Source organism: Homo sapiens, chromosome 6, assembly GCF_000001405.40.
Source record: "Homo sapiens chromosome 6, GRCh38.p14 Primary Assembly".
Taxonomy (NCBI): domain Eukaryota; kingdom Metazoa; phylum Chordata; class Mammalia; order Primates; family Hominidae; genus Homo; species Homo sapiens.
This window is the reverse complement of record NC_000006.12, coordinates 144,267,855-144,288,888: the sequence shown is the minus strand read 5'-3', so window position 1 is coordinate 144,288,888 and position 21,034 is coordinate 144,267,855. Positions and strand designations below refer to the sequence as shown.

Below are 21,034 nucleotides of genomic sequence, written 5' to 3'. Positions count from 1 at the left end.
AGGAGGCTGAGGCAGGGGAATTGATTGAACTCAGGAGGTAAAGGTTGCAGTGGGCCAAGATCGCTGCCACTGCACTCCAGCCTTGACGACCGAGTGGGTGAGACTCCATCTCAAAAAAAAAAAAAAAAAAAAGAGAGAGAGAGAGAGTTGGATATAAAGGATTGGATCATCAATCTGACAGATTTTATGAGAGTCTAAAAAACTTTTTTCATTTTTTATAGGCTCTACTACTGCTAAAAATTTATGGATTATTATATGATTACATTCTTTCATTCAAGTACATAACTATAAAGGATTTGCTAAATTCTTAAGTGTATTTTATTATATTCAAGAATCAAAAACTTTGTTCAGAAGAATGTCTATAAAAGTTTATCATGGAAAATTAAGTTTGCCCAGGGAAAAATTCTCTTTCCTGGAAAGAACTACAGTGTATCACTTTGGAGCAGTAAGTCTAATGCTTTTCTTCACTATTGGTCTTAGCCAAGATCTCCACTTCTATGCTACCCAAAGCCTTTATTCACCCATAAAAGAGAAAAGTCAACTGTTTACACACTACTTTATTCCATTTGCCCATTATCAGTAACACTTCTTCACTATAATGTTTCACTTGCCACTCTCCTCAAGGTGATTTTTCAAATTTTTCTCTTCTTGATAATGAAAATCCCTTACAGGTTGCAAAGATACAGCAGAAAAGGTGATCAGAGTACAGAGGAAAATGGGGAGAAAGAAGAATAACAGAAGGCTATTTAAATAGTGATAGCCACTGAGGTTACTTGCCATTAATGGCCAGAGGAATTTGAGTACACTTAAGGCAAAGGATGACTCCTTCTAATTGCCAAATGCAGAATCTTTGGTTCTCAGGAGACAGAATCAAAGTTTCACCACGAACAATGCATCCCAGTGTGACCCTCCGTCTTCCACACCTATAAAATGGAGGGAACACCATCTTCACAGAAGGCTAGGTGAGAAACTGAGAATCAATGAATGAGATGTTGCTTTAGAAGCTTCAAGCCCTATACAAATGCAATTTATTGTTACCTCTGCCCTAGATTTCCCTTCCCTCAAATGATATTCTGTAAAAGCCAGATGTTCTTACTGAAACCAATCCAGTCAAGTCGATATTCACTAACTCTCCCTTCAGAACGCTTCCGGCTGTCATATGGACCACCAAGCAAGAGTGTATGAAATAAACATAAGGTGTTTAAAAAATAAACATAAGGTGACAGCCTTAAAGACAAAACTAATGTTTCAATTTTTTAAGATTTTAGGAATTATACAATGAATATATGTATATAATTTTTATTTTGTACTATATTTTATGTATATAGCACATATATATCCAACAGTGTGCATTATGATGGAAATGCTGTGTAATGCAAACACTATTCATTAATTTACTATAGGAACCAAAACCTAGGAACGATTGAGATAGTAGAAAAGGAAGCCAAGCGGACAAGAGTTTGCTGCTCTGCTTGAAACACAGTAAAAGAAAACGGTGAGTGCCAAGAACTGCCATTTACACTCGGAAGCGCTCCAGGGAAGGTTAATACTACTGTGATTAATACTGTTTACAGAGCCAATAAATTTTAGGTAAACACCCAAAGGAGAGTTAAAGAGTTGTCTCATCGGTCCCATAAAGGCTGGTAAAAGGGGCGGGGAATGGTTCCACGCCAACCCTGTCCGTCACCGCAGAACTACCCACAAGCTTCGCATTCCTCCACCTCTCCCCTGACCCTGAGCTATCCGCAGGCTGCGTCTCCCACGCCCACCGCCAACGAACCGGGAGGGCCCAGATCGACTTCCTGAGGCCGGTGCAACTTACAAAGGAATGGATGCGGTCGCTGCCGCCCGGCCGGGCGGCCGGGAGGGTCGGCTCAGACCTAGGGAATCCGGCCTCCCCCGAGCTCCGCGCGCTCTGGCCGCGGCGACCGCTGCACTGACCCTCCCAACCGCGGCAGGGGGAACTGGCCCGCAAGGCCCTGGTGATCCGGCTGACCTGAAGGCTGGGAAAGAGGAGGCCCTGTCCTGAACACCTCAGAGAGCGGGGCCGTGGAGTTAGAACCCGAGCTCTGCAGTTCCTTGTAAAATAAAGTGCTGGTCCCACAGCTCTCTCGGAGGTCGGGCAACGTTTTCTCCCTCCTCCTCGAAAAACGCACTGGAATGAGTCCCTTTCATAATCTGAGGCTTGGAGGAAAAAATCCTTTGAACAACCTGCCATCTGAAAGTTGCACAGCCTTCAATTGGTGCTTTGTTGGTTTTTAAGTGGCCTTGAGCAACCACAGCCTCGGACCCCGGGCCAAAGCGGGGCATGAATTACCTTGTCAGTTGCAGCAAGAGATCCCCAGAGTCCGGAAAAGGAGAGCCGGCGACTGCGCGGGACTACACACCAATGGGGCGCCCCCCTCCTCCTGTCCCCTCAGTCTCTCCAGGGCCGCTGCCAGGGAGCTTGGCGATCGCGCCACACTCTCCGGAGCCCCACCCTTGGGAGCAGCAACCACCCAGAGGTCAAGCACGTTCCCCGCCGGGCGGCTGGCTGGGAAGCGCTCCGCTGGCCGCCGACCACACAGCCACCCTCTGCCCACCCTCTCCTGTGGACACCGCCGGAGCCCCGCCTTCCCCGGGCCCGGGTGTCTGTGACAGACTCTCCTAAGAGGCCACGTCCCCTCTTGCAAATCACTGGCCCAGCGCCCTGCACCGCGCGATGCACGGAGGGCGACTCTGTCACCCCGGCGGGGAGGAAGATTAGGGGAGCAGGGAGGCAGCACAGAGCTGGTCAGATAAGTTTGGATCGTTCACAACTAGTACGGATCCCAAGGACCTCCACGCCCGAGCTCTCCACGCCTCCGGCATTCTCTCTCGCACCGCGGGGAGCTAAACTGAGGCCCCGAGGAAAGGGCACGCAAAAGTTACTCCCATCTTCGACTCTGGGACTTGGGAAGCAGCTCGGGACGCCGATCCCAGGCGGAAGAACCACAGAAAGAGCCATCCTCCTCCCGGCCCCCGCCCCATTCCCTCGGGGGCTGTAGTCACATTACCAGCCCGAGGCTTCAATAATGCATGGGCTTACCTGCTGCCCGCGGGCCTCCTCGCCTGCCGGTCGCCACCGCCGCACCCCGAGCTGGCCAAGGGCTCCTCTAGGAGTTTGACACGGAGTAACCGCGGGGGTGTGTGCGAGTGTTAGTTTGGTGGTGCGATGTATTTAAAAAAAAAAATAAAGCTTGGAGAAGCAGACACGAACCGAAATTTTAAAAAAAGAAAGAAAGAAAGAGAAATTGACACCCGACTGAAAACGCCCCTTACTTGTGCAATCTTCCTGCCTGGTAGTTCCGCCAAAAACAAAACAGTCAAAGCGCAAACCTGGAAGGGGCGCGCAGGCACCAACTTTGCCAAACGCTACAGAGTTTTCCGTTTGCAGAAATGACCCAAAAGAAGGGGGGCGCCGCTCCCCGTGATTCCCCAATCGGCTTCTGGAGCCAGAGGCTCCTCCTCGCCCCTCGGCGGGAGAAAGCCCGCGGCCGGCTGCTGCTGCCCGCTTCCCTGCTCCGAGGAAAAACGACTCCACAACTTTGTGCGCGAGAGAGGCTCGCTCCTTCGGCGGCTCCTCCTCCTCCTCCCCGCTGCGGGCCTGCCCCTTTGTTGGAGCCGAGCGCTGGAGGCGGAGGAGGGAGGGTGGGGCGCAGGACCGCTGGGTCGCGCGTTGCCGCCCCCACCCCCCGGGAAGGGGCTCGCCTCCGGGCAGCCAGGGGTCCGCTCTCCAGATGAGAAGGGTGCAGATCAGCGCCAGCCCTCCGGCCCGCGCCTCTGCAGCGCTCCGGCTCCCCCTCGGCGCTCTCGCCCCGCCGCCGCCGGCCCAGCAACTTTGTTCCGGAAGATCAGCCCCACTACGTTCCCGGGTCAGCGTCTGCCGGGCCTCGGCGGTCACCGCGGCCACCGCGTCGGGAACTTGGCGCCCCAAGTCACCTGACTGCGCGCCCCGTCAATCAGCGCCGGCCCTGCGCGCCCTCCCAGCCCGCAGCAGCCCGGCTCGGCGCTTGGCTGGCCTGGGGCGCGCGCTCCAGAGTGAACCGTGCGTGCCGGGAGCCGGGAGTCCGGAGACCGAACCAGAATGGATGCCTCGAGCAGACACAATTCCCCTTATTCAGATTATCCGAAAATGTGAGTCACGTCCCCTTAGGCAAAACAGGTCTCTAGTTAGGGTGATATTTTTTTAAGAGATAAATTCCAATCTGCCTTCCAACTCACCCCATCTCAGTTTGCTGACGTTGCTGATTTTTTTTTTACCCCTAGTTCCAACCGTATATTTATTTTACATTATTTCTCTAGTGTCGTTGTTAATATTGAAAAAGAAGTTTTCTCTTACATTAGTTTGTATTACAAGTAGTGTTTGCGCTGACCTTATTTTTCTGTTTTCCAATATGCACACACAAACGCACATCTGTTATAGAGCCTGTTCCAAGCTTGAGAGGTTGACCAAAAAATATCTGGGAAGAAATGAGCTCGTGATGTGTGTGCATTTTTCTTATTTACACATTTCATTGCTCGTGTGTTCCTGTGATTCTTTTACACGATCAGCACACGTGGGAGGGGAAAGAAAACAGCAACCTGAGTTCCTAGTTCGTATTAACAGAGAAAAGGATGGTTGATACTGGAGCGCCGGTTTATTGCTGGCTTAATATTTGAGTTAATTTACGCGGCAGTAAAGATTAAACCACTAGGGGCCTTAAACTAATTTTCAGAAAGAGTTTACTCGCCTTTTGTTATAGTGAAAGTTTCCCCCATCCATCCCTAAGTGCTCCAGGGAGGGGGCAGGTAGGAGATTCCCAAAAGAGACTCTTCCTTGTAAGGTTTCTAGGACAGTTTCCTTCCTTTTGATGATTTTCTACGTATAAGCCAAATAAAATCCAAAGGATTAACTTGAAATGGGTATGATTTTATTCATTCACTTCATTCATTCATTTAACAAGCATCAGTTTAGGGCTGTCAGGTTTGCTGGTTCTGTGGGTAAAGCAAAGATAAATCTGATAGTGATCTTACCCTTAAAGAACTTGGAATGTAGTAGGTGAGATAAGACATGTAAACAAGTAAGTATATACAAGATCCGGGAGATAAATGCCATAAGAAAAGAACAGATCAAGTGCTAGCTGAGTATGGTCACATAGAGGGACTCCAGGATTTTTTCTTTCTTTCTTTCTTTCTTTTTTTTTTTTTTTTGACAGTGTCTCTCTCAGTTGCCCAGGCTGCAGTGCAGTGGCGCGATCTCGCTCACTGCAAGCTCCGCCTCCTGGGTTCACGCCATTCTCCTGCCTCAGCCTCCCTAGTAGCTGGGACTACAGGCGCCCACCACCACGCCCTGCTAATTTTTTGTATTTTTAGTAGAGACGGGGCCTCCCAAAGTGCTGGGATTACAGGCATGAGCCACCGTGCCCAGCCCCCAGGTTTTTTTTAACTGATCATTTTGCAGACACCAAAAGTTGCTTATCACTCACTGTATCCTGGTTGAGTTGATGAAACTCAGATTTTCTCCTTCAAAATAGATAATAAGGCCACATTGGAGTGTTTGATGATGTTGTCACTTAAATTAATATTTGTGACACTTTTCACAATTTACAAAGTAATACATCATTTTAGCTCAAAAATTTTGAAAAACGCACGTTTAGGGTCCTATGATTTCTGGGATTGTAAGCTGTGAGGAGATGTTTAGTCGAGCTTCCTCAACGCCTGTAAGAGATGGAACAGGAGGCCAACAAGCCACCTTCTGTGCAGGAGTGACCTGCCCCGCATATCAGCCATAGTGGCTTACAGCCAGTTACCTGGGGACCTGTGCCCTATCTGTTTCTAGCCCTTCTCTCCAGGCAGAGACTGATGCTCTTTGTAGGTAATGAGCAAAAGAGGCTAAAGAAATTCTTGTTGACTGGGTGCAGTGGCTCACACCTGTGATCCCAGCACTTTGGGAGGTCGAGACAGGTGGATCATCTGAGGTCAGGAGTTCGAGATCAGCCTGGCCAACATGGAGAAACTCTGTCTCTACTAAAAATACAAAAATTAGCTGGGCGTGGTGGCACATGCCTATAATCCCAGCTACTCAGGAGGCTGAGGCATGAGAATCGCTTAAACCCCGGGGCAGACGTTGCAGTGAGCCAAGATGGCGCTACTACACTCCAGCCTGGGTGACAGAGCAAGACTGTCAGAAAGAAAGAAAGAGAGAAAGAGAGAAATAAAGGAGGGAGGGAGGGAAGGAAGAGGAAGGGAGGGAGGGAGGGCGGAATTCTTGTTGATGGAACGATCAAGAGATCTCAAGCTGGTCCTGTGCTGGTCCTGTCCCCCAACACTTTCTTTATTTGGTAGGGAAACCACATTTGGTGGGCGATCTTGACCACAGAGGGCTATATTTCCATAAAGCACAGTGTGATCTTCCTTTATATCCAGAGAATCTAGGTGAGGCACGGTGGAGACAGGCCTCTAAGGTAATGGGCCTGCAACAAGGATGCTCAGTGGGGTTTTGTCTGCTCATCCCAAAGATCAGATCGCTGTAGAACATCTGGAGAGAATAATAGGAATGTGGCCCTGGGTCTACTGGTAACCCAAAGTCAGAATTGCCCTGCTGTCACCACAGAACTGTGAAAATTAAGGAAAATGGAGTTAGTGTCACTGCAGGATAGAAAGCCTTTGACAAAGGAGAAAATTATGATATGAGTAGTGTATATATAGATTCATATATAAAGATATATGTATATGTGTGTATAGTGTATATAGACATGATTCACATAAATATTATTCCCATACAGGGAACTGCATCCTAATATAAGAACCAAAAGGAAAACATTTGCTACTAAACTTTGTGCAAGACTATATAAATGCAGTTTTTCTTTAAACAGTAGAAACAGGGGAAAATACACAATGTATAAAAAAACAAGACACTCCTTTAGCTTTACCTTTGGTATTGACTATAATTAAAGCCCCACATACAAGCATTTAAGAGAGGAGGAAAGTTTAGGGAATTTAGCCTTTCTTATATTTTTCAGGTAAAAAAAGTATAAATCTGGAGCTTGTGTGTAATAGATACTGGATTTTTGCTGAGTATTGTTGGTAAATTCTTCAGTCAAACGTCTAGTATGTGTGCGAGTTGATAAAATTTTATCATATAAATTTTTGTAATAGAATTGAAGAAACAAAAAATAATAGCACATGAAACTTTTAGAAAATAAATAGTACAAAGGCTGAGTTCCTTACAACTTAATGCACTCAAGAATTACCCAGAGAATATATTTTAAATTCAGATTGATTGCCATTCCCCAGAAATTCTGATTGACTAGGCCTGGTGGGGCCCAGGAAGCTGCAGGTTTAACATGCCTTAGCTTTAGATCAGAATAGCTGAGGAGCCACACTTTGAGCCCCTGTGCCCTGGGGTGCTGGCCTTAAATAGGCCACTTTGGATGATTGGAGGGGTCAAGAAATTGCCCTACCAAAAAAAAATCCATACTGAATCAATCATAATTATGAAATACCCGTGATTAGCTTTATCTCTTTGAATTCAAGTGTTTCATTCGATTCGGACCACCCTGGAGGTTACCTACAATTGGTAAAACCCTAGGACTATTCCTGGCAATTTAACCTGCACAGGTGGTAGGAAGCATGGCCCAGTTCTGAGGAAATGAGGCTCTGAAGAGAAAGTTTAATGATGAGAGGACAAGGAGGACAGGAATATTGAGAATACAGGAGCTGAAATGTGGAATCCAAAGAAGCTAAGGGCAAAATAAAAGCACTAAGTTGTTGGGCAGAGAAGAGCAACTGATTGATCAAAATGGGAGAATAAAGGAAGCGCCAAAAAGAGAAGGAAGAGACGCAGAGAGGGTGGAGGATGGGAAACCCAGAGCACCACCTTCGGGGAAAACTGAACAAAACACAGTCTACGCTGAGTTTATCCTACTTATAAATTTTTCTTGGCTTAATTTAATTTGTATAATTTTATAATGTTGTTGCTGAAAAAGATTTTACAGAGTCTTTCCATCAACCCTCTGAATTTTTTTTTTTTTTTTTTTTTTTTTTTTTTTTTGAGGCAGAGTCTCGCTCTGTCTCCCAGGCTGGAGTGCAGTGGCGTGGTCTCGGCTCACTTCAAGCTCTGCCTCCCGGGTTCACACCATTCTCCTGCCTCAGCCTCCCGAGTAGCTGGGACTACAGGCGCCCACCACCATGCCCGGCTAATTTTTTGTATTTTTAATAGAGATGGGGTTTCACCTTGTTAGCCAGGATGGTCTCGATCTCCTGACCTCGTGATCCGCCCGCCTCAGCCTCCCAAAGTGCTGGTATTACAGGCGTGAGCCACTGCCCCCGGCCAACCCTCTGATTTTACAAAGAAGCAAATGAAAGATACAAAGCTGATCAGGGAATACCTTTAGGTAAAATAAAACAATCTATTGGGGGAAAGTGTCCAAATTACTGAGAAGTGAAAAGAGAAGATCCCTATGTTACATGAGTTCATTGTTAACCAGAAGAAGAGGGGAGAAGGTGGGGGAAGAAAGCGAGCGTAGCCGAAAGAGAACTGGTCTAGATTTTAGTTACCTAAGTACTCATTATGATATTGAAGGCTATTAGCCATGTAAGCTTGTGGAACTTAACCTTTAGCTTCCTACCTGTAAAGTAGAAAGAGTAATACCTTCTGCAAGTGTTGTGAGAATCAAATGAGTTAGTTAACATAAAGCATTTACCACCAAATCTGGTACTTTTTACTTTTATTATGTTCCTTTCCCCTTTCTCTTAACTCAAGAGGATTGGCTGCCATTTTGTGATTGTCTTCATTCATTCTTTATTGAAAACATTCCTGGAACTTCCATTATCTGCTGCAAAGCAGGATATGCAAATGGGATAGGCCACAGTGGTTACCTTCAAAGAGCTCACTGTCTCGTGAGAAAGACCAACACATAGATAGACAATTATAAATTAATAGGGTACACCAGTACAGCCAAAATGTAACATGAGCCAGGAGAGGGACACATAACCCAATAGAAAGGACAGGAATGGGCAGTACCAAGAAGTGACACCTGAGTTGAGCCTTAGTGGTTGAGTAGGAATCCTAAAAGGCACCTGTTGTCTTGCTGTGCCCAACATCTTTCCACTCTTATTGAAGGAATATTACTCCTTCCTTTGGAGATTTCCTTTTCTGCTCCAATTAGATTTTGTGTGGCTGTCAATCATTTTGTGGGACTGTCAATCACTGAGCCTGGGGGTGGGCTCATGACCTAGGAATAGCCAATCATAGGGCCCCTTCCCCAACCACAGTAATTAGTCTAAGCAGGGACCAGAGATCCAAGTTAAGCCCATAATAGTCCTTGCTAGGCGTTTTCATGGTAACACTGAAAGGGAAAGTTACCTTTTTCTTTTTTCCTTTGGAATTAGTAAACTGGAGTGACATAAAATTGAGACAAACTCCCTCCATTCCCCTCTCCTGCTCCTACTACTGGCTGGAGTTCCACTTCTATAGAAGGAGAAAATTAAACCATTGCACCGGGAGCTGAAAATATACAGAGAAAGCTGAGAATGCAAGAGTCGCTGGCTTCCATGCCCATCGGCAGTGCCCTATCACTCCCTTTATCCTGAATGTTAATGTGTATTGGAATTCTGTCACTTGCAACTGAATGAGCCCAGTTCAATATAAAAATTAATCAGGAAAAGAGCAGGCCTATGAGAAGGCTTCAGGCAAAGGAAGACATGGAATATGTATGAATGGTGGCAAGCGGCAGGAGGAGCATTTCCTTTTGTTGGAGTCCTGGGTGGTCTCCCTAGCTCCCTAACACATGCTAAACCCAAACACATTTGCAGTCTTAGCCTGGTATGCAGGGGATGGGGGATTACCATCTAGATTTCCAGGCCATGATCAGACATCTTCTATGTCTAGTTTTGCACTGGTTCTCCTGCCAGACTCCAGTTGGCTATTGGAACTGGAATGTGCCCTAAATCGCAGCCTATTTGGCAAGAGCCCTAACCCTCAGTGTAGCTCTGCAGCTTCCTTGCCCAGAGGCAAGGTTCGGGTTCCTGGACACACCCTTGCAATTCACTTGCAAGAAGATACACCCCTCTAGCCTGGATTGTGCATCCTCCTGCTCCAGTGCAACTCATCCGACAGGAAGGCTGGATGAGGTCAGCTCAATGTTTCTGATGCCCCTCTGGAAGGCTGACTCTAAACTGTCAGCTGATTTCTAAGGGATCTGGTGTCTCTATGGCCCATTCCCCCACCCCCCTCCCTGCTTCCGGGACTCCTCCCTCTGGGCACTGCCTCTCTGTATTGAGGAGAGATGGCCAACATGACTTACACCTGCGCCTGACCAAGTTATGGTATTAATCAGCTGGCCCTGCCTTATCAACCATTATTTCCTTCTAGAAAACTCTCATAGTTTTTAGATGGATGCCAAATTCTTCTGCGTTCTTACTCTGCCTTTCAAACACGTGGCCAGGTGCAGGGACTCATGCCTCTAATCCCAGCACTTTGGGAGGCCGAGGCAGGGGGGATCACTTGAGCCCAGTAGTTAGAGACTAGCCTGGGCAACATATTGAGACTCTGTCTCTACCAAAAAATAAAAAATAAAACAATACAAATTAGCCCGGCGTGGTGGCACAGGCCTGTAGACCCAGCTACTTAGGAGGCTGAGGTGGGAGGATCGGTTGAGCCTGGGAGTTCGAGGTTGCAGTGAGCAGTGATGATGCCACTGCACTCCGGCCTCGGTGACAGGCTGAGACCCTGTCTCAAATAAACATGAGTTTCCCATCTTAAATCGAGGGCCTGGAGGGGCAGGACCAGACACTATGTGGATTTCTTCTCTGGGGAACTAGCAAGGGGCTCCAATGCACTGATAAGTGCCTCCCAGTGATTACTGGGCATTTCTAGCTATATGAGCCTAGGGGAAATCCCAAGCAGTCCATTGCAGTAAAAGAGGAAAATATTGGGACAATCTATTGGAGTCATGCAGACAATTTTAAAATATTGATTATTTTAACAAAGTCAACTATTTTGTTTTACAAAATTAGGTCACATTGCTTTTCAGTATACTTCAAATTACCACAGACCTCAAACTGGTGGCCATCTGCCCGAGAATGAAATGGTATTGCCACATCAAATGTACCCTTCTTCCAATAGGCAGCTTTATTCGCCTAGTATTTGCTCTTACTTTGTGAAGAAAATCCAGGAAAAGGTGCTTTTCATTTCTGTAATTCTACATAAGTACATACTATTTTCCTGCTTTGATAAAACGGTCACCTTCTCCAGGAAAGCTTCCCAGAGAGCTAAGGACCGACTGGTGTCACCAGTCAACTCATGTGGGCAGCACAAAACATTCCTCAGAAAATATGTTTAAATTAAAAGAAGAGCAAAATTCTTTTTCACATTTATGATCCCCTTGGCGTCATGAAGTTGTGTCATATTTGTTAGAGACTAATATAATAAGAACAGATGCAGGCTCAGTAGGTAAAAGATGCATTCTTGCTAAGTCATGCTTGTATGGCAACAAACCTTGCTATCTGAAAAATGGTTTCTCTGTGTTTCAAATTCAGGGAGAGATGGACAAATTTGTCTCTCATGCAACACATTGTAGCAGATGGATGAAGAGCTTGAAAGAACCCATGACACAGCAATAAGCATCATATTCATATTTAGAGCAGCAATTCTGCTCCATTAAAATAATCTGTCACATTAAATTTATGTAGTTAATTTGAATTAAATATGTGCTTTTGTTGTATTGGTTTTTTTGTCTTATATAAATGGACAAGAGCTATAAGTATAAATAGTGCAAGCTTGTTTGTACACATTTCTTTCTTTCTTTTTTTTTTTTTTTTCGAGACTGAGTCTCGCTCAGTCGCCCAGGCTGGAGTGCAGTGACACGATCTCGGCTCACTGCAAGCTCCATCTCCCAGGTTCACACTGTTCTCCTGCCTCAATCTCCCGAGTAGCTGGGACTACAGGTGCCCGCCACTACGCCCAGCTAATTTTTTGTATTTTTAGTAGAGACGGGGTTTCACTGTGTAAACCAGGATGGTCTCGATCTCCTGACCTCGTGATCTGCCCACCTCGGCCTCTCAAAGTGCTGGGATTACAAGCGTGAGCCACCACGCCCGGCCGCCTGTTTGTACACATTTAAATAACGTTGTAATTAAAATAATGTAATTCAGCCCAGGAATCTATAGATTTCATTTTTCCTTAAGAAGGGTTAGAACATTACTCAAGTTTGCAAAACATTGGGTTAATGCAATAGCTGTGTGATATAGTTTGGATATTTGTTCCCTCCAAATGTCATGTTAAAATTTGATCCCCAATGTTGGAGTCTGATGGGAGTTGTTGTGTTTGAGTTCATGGGGGAGGATCCCTCATGAAGCACTTGGTACAGTCCTTGAGGTAATAAGTGAGTTTTCACTCAGTTAGTTCCCTTGAAAACTGCTTGTTAAAAAGAGCCTGTAATCCCAGCACTTTGAGAGGCTGAGGCAGGAGGATCACCTGACGTCGACAGTTCGAGACCACCCTGACCAACATGGAGAAACCCCGTCTCTACTAAAAACACAAAATTAGCCAGTCGTGGAGGTGCACACCTGTAATCCCAGCTACTCAGGAGGCAGAGGCAGGAGAATCTCTTGAACCCAGGAAGTGGAGGTTGCAGTGAGCTGAGATTGTGCCATTGCACTCTAGCCTGGGCAACAAGAGCGAAACTCCGTCTCAAAAAAAAAACCCAAAAGAACCAAGCCTGGCATCTCCCTCCCACCCTCTGTCTTCTCCTCTTTGGCCAGGTGATCTGCCCACTCTGGCTGCCTTTCCCCTTCCGTCATGAGTAGAAGCAGCCTGAGTCCCTCAGCAGAAGCAGATGCTGGTGCTTTCTGTACAACCTTCAGAACTGCAAGCCAAGTAGACCTTTTTTCTTTATAAATTACCCAGCCTTGGGTACTCCTTTATAGCAACACAAGAGGAGAAAAAACACTGTGTTAAGACTGGCCAGATGATCGTAGATGCTTATAAAATGTTATCCAAAATTTCAAAAGCCCCATAAGTTATTGTATTTATATAAAAAACTAAATACTCAATTTTTTTTTTTTTTTTTTGAGACAGGGTCTCTGGCGCCCAGGCTGGAGTGCAGTGTCGCGATCACTGCTCACTGTGGCCTCCACCTCTTAGGCTCAAGTGATCCTCCCACCTCAGTCTCCCAAGCAGCTGGGAATACAGGCATGGGCCACCACACCTGGCTAATTTTTGTATGTTTTGTAGAGACAGGGTTTCACTTTGTTCACCCAAAGTGCTGGGATTATAGTCCTGAGCCACCTCTCCTGGCCTTCTAACCTTTTTTTTATCTTTGAGACAGGGTATCCCTCTGTCGCCCAGGTTGATGGGCGGTGGCATGATCTCACCTTACTGCAACCTCCACCTCCTGGGTTTGAGTGATCCTAATGCTTCAGCCTCCAGAGTAGCTGGGACTACCCGCCACCACGCCTGGCTAATTTTTTTATTTTTTTGTAGAGGCTGGGTTTCGCCATGTTGCCCTGGCAACAAGAGGCTGTTCAAACTCTTTATAATCAAAAACTCAATTGCAGTGACTTCCAGGTAAAGATGGAGATTGAACTCTCTTTGCTTCTTCCCAAACCCTACCGAAACTACACCAAAATGACTTATTTTAAGGCATAGAACTCCAAGGAGAGGGAGATAATGACAACAACACCTTTGAAGGAGGAAAGAACATGGCCAAATGGAAATTGACTTTGCAGGCCTGAAAAAGCCTAATCCTAAGTTAGCAGCAAGGGCAGCTAAGAAAAATACATATATAATTTCCACTGAAATGTCAGGCAAAAGCCCAGGAATTGAAGGCACCAAGTACCCTGAAAGTGGAGGGTGGTGGGGACAGGATCAAAAGGATTGGTTGAAAGAAATAGTTAGATTCCTCAATTCCTTGACCCACCCTACAAAACTAGGCAGCTGCAACCCCAGAAGAAGATTAGAACTGTGTTTTTGGAACAGAGAAACCAGAGGATCTCTAGACCAGGGAACCAAGTCAAGGTAGGGGAACTGTACCAAAAACAAGGAGGATCAACACCACCTGCCTCCTCTCCCAGTATGACAACCAGAATACAGGCAGCCAGGCCTTCCCCATTCATACAGGAGGCTGAAGGTGCCTTCTATGGGGAATCTGAACAGCCCAAGAAGAAACACCGTAAGATAGACAGTGGAGGTTCCAAGCCAAAATAGCTACCCATGTCAGTGAAGTAATGAAAGCCACCCATGTAGGGAGAGCTTCTCCTCGGCTGTGTATTGTGATACCCTTAATCATAAGCAGACAGTCAAGAATTATCAGACATCCGAGGATAGCCTCTCGCACAAATGTTGAAATAAAATACATAAACAGCAAAAGGCAACTTGAAAGTAACAAAGACTAGGTTGTCAGGAAAAAAAAATTTAAACTTCTTTTAAAATTAGTATTAATATCTATAGAGAGGAGTCCAGCAAGGTGGCACATGCCTGTAGTCCCAGCTATGCAGAAGCATCACTTGAGCCCAGGAGTTAGAAGCCAGCCTGGACACCACAGCAAGACCCCTGATATCGTTAGGCTGTGCCCCCATTCAAATCTCAACTTGAATTGTATCTCCAAAATTCCCACGTGTTGTGGGAGGAACCTTGGAGGAGGTAATTGAATCATGGGGGCCGGTCTTTCCTGTGCTATTCTCGTGATAGTAAATAAGTCTCATGAGATATGATGGGTTTATGAGGGGTTTCCACTTTTGCTTCTTCTCTCATTTTCTCTTGCTGCAGCCATGTAAGAAGTACCTTTCACCTTCTGCCATGATTCTGAGGCCTCCCCAGCCACGTGAAACTCTAAGTCCAATTAAACCTCTTTTTGTTCCCAGTTTCGGGTTTGTCTTTATCAGCAGTGTGAAAACGAACTAATGCAACCTCCTATCTTTTTTTTTTTTATTTATTTTATTTTTTTATTTTTGAGACGGAGTCTGGCTCTGTCACCCAAGCTGCAGTGCAGTGGTGCGATCTTGGCTCATTGCAACCTCCACCTCCTGGTTCAAGCAATTCTCCTGCCTCAGCCTCCCTAGTAGCTGGGATTACAGGTGCCCACCACCATTCCTGGCTAATTTTTTGTATTTTTAGTAAAGATGGGGTTTCACCATGTTGGCCAGTCTGGTCTCGAACTCCTGACCTCAGGTGATCTCCCTGCCTCAGCCTCCCAAAGTGCTGGGATTACAGGAGTGAGCCACTGTGCCCGACCCCCACTTTTTTTTTTTCAAGACAGGGTCTTGCTGTGTTGCCCAGGCTGGAGTGCAGTGGTGTGATCTCAGCTCACTGCAACTCCACTTCCTGGGCTCAAGCAATCCTCCCACCTCCGCCTCCCAAGTAGCTGAAACTACAGGTGTGTATCACCATGAGTAGCAATTTTTTTGCATTTTTTGTAGACACAGGGTTTCGTCATGTAGCCCAGGCTGGTCTTGAACTCCTGAGCTCAAGCAATCCACTCACCTTAGCCTCCCAAAGTGCTGGGATTACAGACAAGAGCCACTGTGCCTGGCTGTTTCCCCCCATCTTTCAATAATAATAATAATAATAATAATAATAATAATAATAATAGAGAGAGAGAGGTATTCGAAGATTTAAAATTAATGAAACAAAAATTAATGAAACAAAATAAATTTACAGAGAACAAAAAATAAATTTAAACGTTGTAAAAATGAAAACTCAATAGATGGATTGGAAGAGAAGGTTGAAGACATCTCCCAGAAAGAAAGAAAACAGCATGTAAAATAACAGGTAAAACATAGGCAAATTAAAAGGCCAGTCCTGAAGAAGTTCCTCAAAGATAGATTAGAAAAAGCAATTATTTCATCAATGAAATAATTTAAGATTTCTGAAAATTGAAGGATACATGTCTGCAGTGTGAAAGGGTTCACTGAGTATCCAGCAATGAAAATATATCCACACTAAGACACATAACAGAGCTAGTTCAGAACACAGGACCTAGGGACAGAATGTTGATGTCTCCCCCACCCCCAGTTTATATGTTGAAATCCTAACCCCCAATGTGATAGTATTAGGAGGTGGGTCCTTCGAGAAGTAATTAGGTCTTGAGGGTGGAGCTTCATGAGTGGAATAAGTGTCCTTATAAAAGGAGACCCCACAGAACTCTTTCCCTCTTTCTGCCAAGTCAGGATACAACAAGAAGAAGGCCACCTGCAACCTAGAAGAAGGCCCTCACCAGAACCTGACCATGCTGGCTCTCTGATCTTGAACTTCCAGCCTCCAGAGCTGTGAGACAAAAATTTGTGTTGTGTATACGCCAATTAGTCTATGGTACTTTGTTCTAGCAACCCAAACTGACTAAGACAATGGGGTCGATGAGAAGATTTTACAAGTTTCCTGGTGGGTGGGGGAAGGAAGATTGCATACAAAGTATCAGAAATCAAAAGGGCTCTGAACTTCTCAGCAGCAACACAGAAAGTTACAAGAAAATGGGGTAACGCATTCAAAATTCCGAAGGGAAATAATTTCTAAATAGTATTAAATATCTAGCCAATTTCTTTTTTTTATTTTTTTCCTTTAACTTTGATTTTAAGTTCAGGGGTAAATGTGCAGGATGTGCAGGTTTGTTACATAGGTAAACATGTGCCATGGTGGTTTGCTGCACAGATCATCCCATCACCTAGGTATTAAGCCCAGCATCCATTAGCTATTCTTCCTGATGCCCTACCTCTCCCCATACCCACCCCACCTTGACAGGCCCCAGTGTGTGTTGTTTCCTGCCATGTGTACATGTGTTCTCATTATTCAGCTCCCAGTTATAAGTGAGAACATGTGGTGTTTGGTTTTCTGTTCTGGCGTTGGTTTGCTGAGGATAATGGCTCTCAACTCCATCCATGTCCCTGCAAAGGACACGATCTCATTGTTATTTATGGCTGCATAGTATTCCATGGGTATGCATATACCATATTTTCTTTATCCAGTCTATCATCGATGGGCATTTGGGTTGCCTCCCGGGTTCAGGCAATTCTCCTCAGCCTCCTGAGTAGCTGGGATTATAGGATTATAGGCGCGTGCCACCACACCCGGCTAATTTTGTATTTTTAGTAGAAATGGGGTTTTGACATGTTGGTCAGGCTGGTCTCCAACTCCTGACCTCAGGTGATCCACCTGCCTCGGCCTCCCAAACTGCTGGGATTACAGGCGTGAGCCACCGCACCCGGCTTACATTTAAGTCTTTAATCCATCTTGAGTTAATTTTTGTATAAGGTGTAAGGAAGGGGTTCAGTGTCAGTTTCTGCATATGGCTAGCTGGTTCTCCCAGCACCATTTATTAAATAGGGAATCCTTTCCCCATTGCTTGTTTTTGTCAGATTTGTCAAAGATCTGGTGGCTGTAGGTGTGCAGTCTTATTTCTGAGTTCTCTATTCAGTTCCATTGGTCTAAATGTCTATTCTTGTACCAGTACCATGCTGTTTTGGTTACTGTAGCCTTGTAGTATAGTTTGAAGTCAGGTAGTAGGATGCCTCCAGCTTTGTTCTTTTTTGCTTAGGATTGTCTTAAATATCTGTCCAACTTCTGAACTAAGTGTGAGGGTGCATATCTTTTAGTCAAAAATTTTAGGCCGGGCACAGTGGCTCATGCCTGTAATTCCAGCACTCTGGGAGGCTGAAGTGGGCTGATCACGAGGTCAGGAGATCAAGACCATCCTGGCTAACATGGTGAAACCCCATCTCTACTAAAAAATACAAAACATTAGCCGGGTGTGGTAGTGGGCACCTGTTGTCCCAGCTACTCGGGAAGCTGAGGCAGGAGAATGGCGTGAACCTGGGAGGCGGAGCTTGCAGTGAGCCAAGATGGGGCCACTGCACTCCAGCATGGGCAACAGAGCCAGACTCTGACTAAAAAAAAAAAAAAAAAAATTTACCCCTCTCCCATACACATATTTTTCTGAGGGAGTTACTGCAGGATGTGCACCACCAAAATAATGGAGTAAGTCTAGAAAAATGAACACAAGAGTTACAGGGTAAAACAGATGTAACATAGAAGAAATGCAAAAGGAATTCCCACACTTACTCAGGATGATGCACCAAGCATGGGGGCAACCCATCTGGAGACTTTTACTCCTAAGTGCTCCAGAAGAAACTTAAGACAATAAAACTGAGATAACACCCAACATTAATGAATGTATCAAGAAAAGATTTAACCATCTGGTGAGGAGTATGGATTAGGGATAAATGTGTACAAAGAAAATTGGGCAAATGAGAAAACATGACAATTCTTAACTGAGGAAAAACTACAAGTTGTACAGTCAAGAAAATGTCATCATAGTTGCCCATATGGCTGGACACTGAATAGCCTACAGAGTCACAGCAATGTTAACCCTGAACACTGAGTTATTCAGAAATAAGATAAATCTAAATAAGGAGAATGAATAGCTTAGAAGTATCTATGACTTTATTTGGTAAGGGTGGAGGACAAAAGATACATAAATCCTCATCTTCATGAAGGGAAGTCAATAGGTAATGTCTAAACCTAAAAAAAAAAAAGTAACATTACAAGTGTCTTATGTAGAGAAATGGAGTTACATAACAGATGAAGCATGTTTAAAAGTTAAAAATAGATACCTCTGGGAAAAGGGATATGGAAAATAAGGGGTTGGGAGACAATTTTCTTTGCAAACTTTGTGGAACTTGGTGATAATTAAAATTATGTTTATGGGCCGGGCACGGTGGCTCATGCCTGTAATCCCAGCACTTTGAGAGGCAAGGAGGGGGGTGGGGGGTGATCACCTGAGGTCGGGAGTTCGAGACCAGCCTGACCAAAATGGAGAAACCCCATCTCTACTAAAACTACAAAATTAGCTGGGCATGGTGGTGCATGCCTGTAATCCCAGCTACTTGGGAGGCTGAGGCAAGAGAATCGCTTGAATCCGGGAGATGGAGGTTGCAGTGAGCCAAGATTGCACCATTGCACTCTAGCCTGGGCAACAAGAGTGAAACTCTGTCTCAAAAAAAAAAAAAAAAAAAAAAAAAAAAAAAAAAAATATATATATATATATATATATATATATATGTTTAAATATATTTTAATAAAAATTGGAAAAAACAGGCTCACAGAATTTATACATGTATGCAGAATAATGCAAAAAGCCATGGTTTTATGGTTAGAATTGGAGAGGGTTTAAGTATAGGAGGCAGGGCTGCATTATGACTGTCATGAGGCCTAGGCACTTTGACTATGTGGGCCCCTCACACTGTAACATTAATATTAAAATTTATTTTTGATATAACTTTAAATATTTCAATTTTTTTCCTTCTCAGGCAAAATTTAGTAGAATTTCATAGGCCTCTTAAAAGTATCATGATCCCTAGGCATTATGCCTACTGTGGCAGTCAATAAGTCCTTCCTGGTAAGAGAAAGAAAGGAGGAAAACTACAGAGTCCTGTTTACTTCATAGTTAACAAAGCTCCCTTTGCTTTGTGGCTCAACATTTCTAGGTCACAATAGTGGAAAATTAAGTGACTTTATAAACAATGAAGCTTCATTTGATCTGATCCCAACACTGTTAGTACGCAACCATCTTACACAATATTTTCTAAATTTATTTCATACGAAAAACATCAGGTTGAAATGTTTAAACCCAGCAGCTTAACATAAAACAATCATAAGTTTGTTGACTGCATTTTTCATTTCCCATAGGAATATTCTCAATTGAATAGAGTACTCAAAGCTTTTATGTCTCCAATTATTTCTCCATTATTATAAAGTAAAAGTGACATTTTGTAAGCTTTGAGTTACAAGCCTTAAACTTCTGTATGAAGAGTATGTCATACATTGTGATCAACTTAATCCTTCCCATCTCAGCTGGTTAAGCTGGTGAGACCAATACTGTTGAAACTGTGCCCAAAGATGCAGATAAAAACCAAAAGCATTTGTTGAAAAATGTTTTGAATAGTCATGCCTTGCAGTTGTACAGCTCTATACATTTTTTAAAGGACTTTCTCTTTTCTGCTTGGATGTCTATTTTTTCCGTATTGGCATATCTAAAACTGAACTTCCCTTCCATATTATTTCCCTCGCTTCACTTACCCAATCCATTCAACTGGAACCACATTTCTCATCACTCCAGCTTGAACCTAGTATTCCTGCCTCTCCTCCTCACACTCAAAATCTAATTGATTAAAAAGTTCTTTTTTTTTTTGATACGGAGTCTTGCTTTGTTGCCCAGGCTGGAGTGCAGTGGCACGGTCTTGGCTCACTGCAAGCTCCGCCTCCCGGGTCCAAGCAATTCTCCTGCCTCAGCCTCCTGAGTAGCTGGGACTACAGGTGCGTGCCACCACGCCCGGCTAATTTTACGTATTTTTAGTAGAGACGAGGTTTCACCATGTTAGCCAGGATGGTCTCAATCTCTGACCTCGTGATCTGCCTGCCTCCGCCTCCCAAAGTGCTGGGATTACAGGCGCGAGCCACCGCACCCGGCAATTAAAAAGTTCTATTGATTGTTCATTATATATTTTTTACATATCTACATTATCAATGTCCAATCCTACCACTGTACTTGAACTTGCCTTTGTACTTGAACTGTTGTATTGGCGTCTTAACTAGCCTCACTCAAACAACTCTTCCTCCTTCAATCCATCCTACACTTTGCCATCAAATCAACTTGTAAACATGGTAATCATGTTATTCAAAAATCTTCAATGGCTCCCAATTGCTTACAAGATAAAACTGGCCATTTATCTAATATCTAATAATATCAGTGTGTAATGGCCATTTATCTATAGTCTAATACCAACCCATGCTGGATACTCTGAGACTTTTCTAGTCACTTTTTGTTGAACATCTTTTACAGCTCACCCCCATGTCACTCTGTTCTTTCATCTGGAGTGCCTGCTCATATTAATGTAGCGCAAGTCTACCTTCTCGTTGAAGCTTTTCCTGAGTACTCATCTCATAATGATTGTGTCCTTTGGATTCTTCACACTTACTGTGAGTACCATCATTTAAAACATATCAGATACTGCCTTTTATAGTTGTCTTCTGTTTATATAT

The 21,034-nt window shown here is 44.5% G+C and overlaps 2 protein-coding genes across 2 annotated transcripts in view, besides 3 other annotated features; both read right to left on the bottom strand.

Moving 5' to 3' along the window:
• UTRN (utrophin) overlaps positions 1 to 3,554 on the bottom strand; it is a 567,700-nt gene extending 564,146 nt beyond the window's left edge. The window contains exon 1 of the mRNA NM_007124.3: positions 3,068 to 3,554. The gene's annotated coding sequence lies outside the window, so the exon portion shown is untranslated. The remainder of the gene's footprint in view (positions 1 to 3,067) is intronic.
• Positions 935 to 2,391, bottom strand: LOC124901418 (uncharacterized). The gene has a single exon (XM_047419641.1). The coding sequence runs from the start codon at positions 2,216 to 2,218 to the stop codon at positions 1,610 to 1,612; it is 609 nt and encodes a 202-aa protein (XP_047275597.1). The 5' UTR covers positions 2,219 to 2,391; the 3' UTR covers positions 935 to 1,609.
• Positions 3,615 to 3,714: a silencer, noted in NCBI's record as "silent region_17641". NCBI's record gives its function as "represses an Ori minimal core promoter by ATAC-STARR-seq in GM12878 lymphoblastoid cells {active_cell/tissue: GM12878}" and the evidence as "EXISTENCE:reporter gene assay evidence [ECO:0000049][PMID:35858748]".
• Positions 3,925 to 3,984: a silencer, noted in NCBI's record as "silent region_17640". NCBI's record gives its function as "represses an Ori minimal core promoter by ATAC-STARR-seq in GM12878 lymphoblastoid cells {active_cell/tissue: GM12878}" and the evidence as "EXISTENCE:reporter gene assay evidence [ECO:0000049][PMID:35858748]".
• Positions 4,115 to 4,184: an enhancer, noted in NCBI's record as "active region_25214". NCBI's record gives its function as "activates an Ori minimal core promoter by ATAC-STARR-seq in GM12878 lymphoblastoid cells {active_cell/tissue: GM12878}" and the evidence as "EXISTENCE:reporter gene assay evidence [ECO:0000049][PMID:35858748]".

What these genes read in the sequence shown, in the direction of transcription:
- LOC124901418 (XM_047419641.1), bottom strand. Translation starts at nt 2,218, where the DNA reads ATGGCAGGTTGTTCAAAGGATTTTTTCCTCCAAGCCTCAGATTATGAA.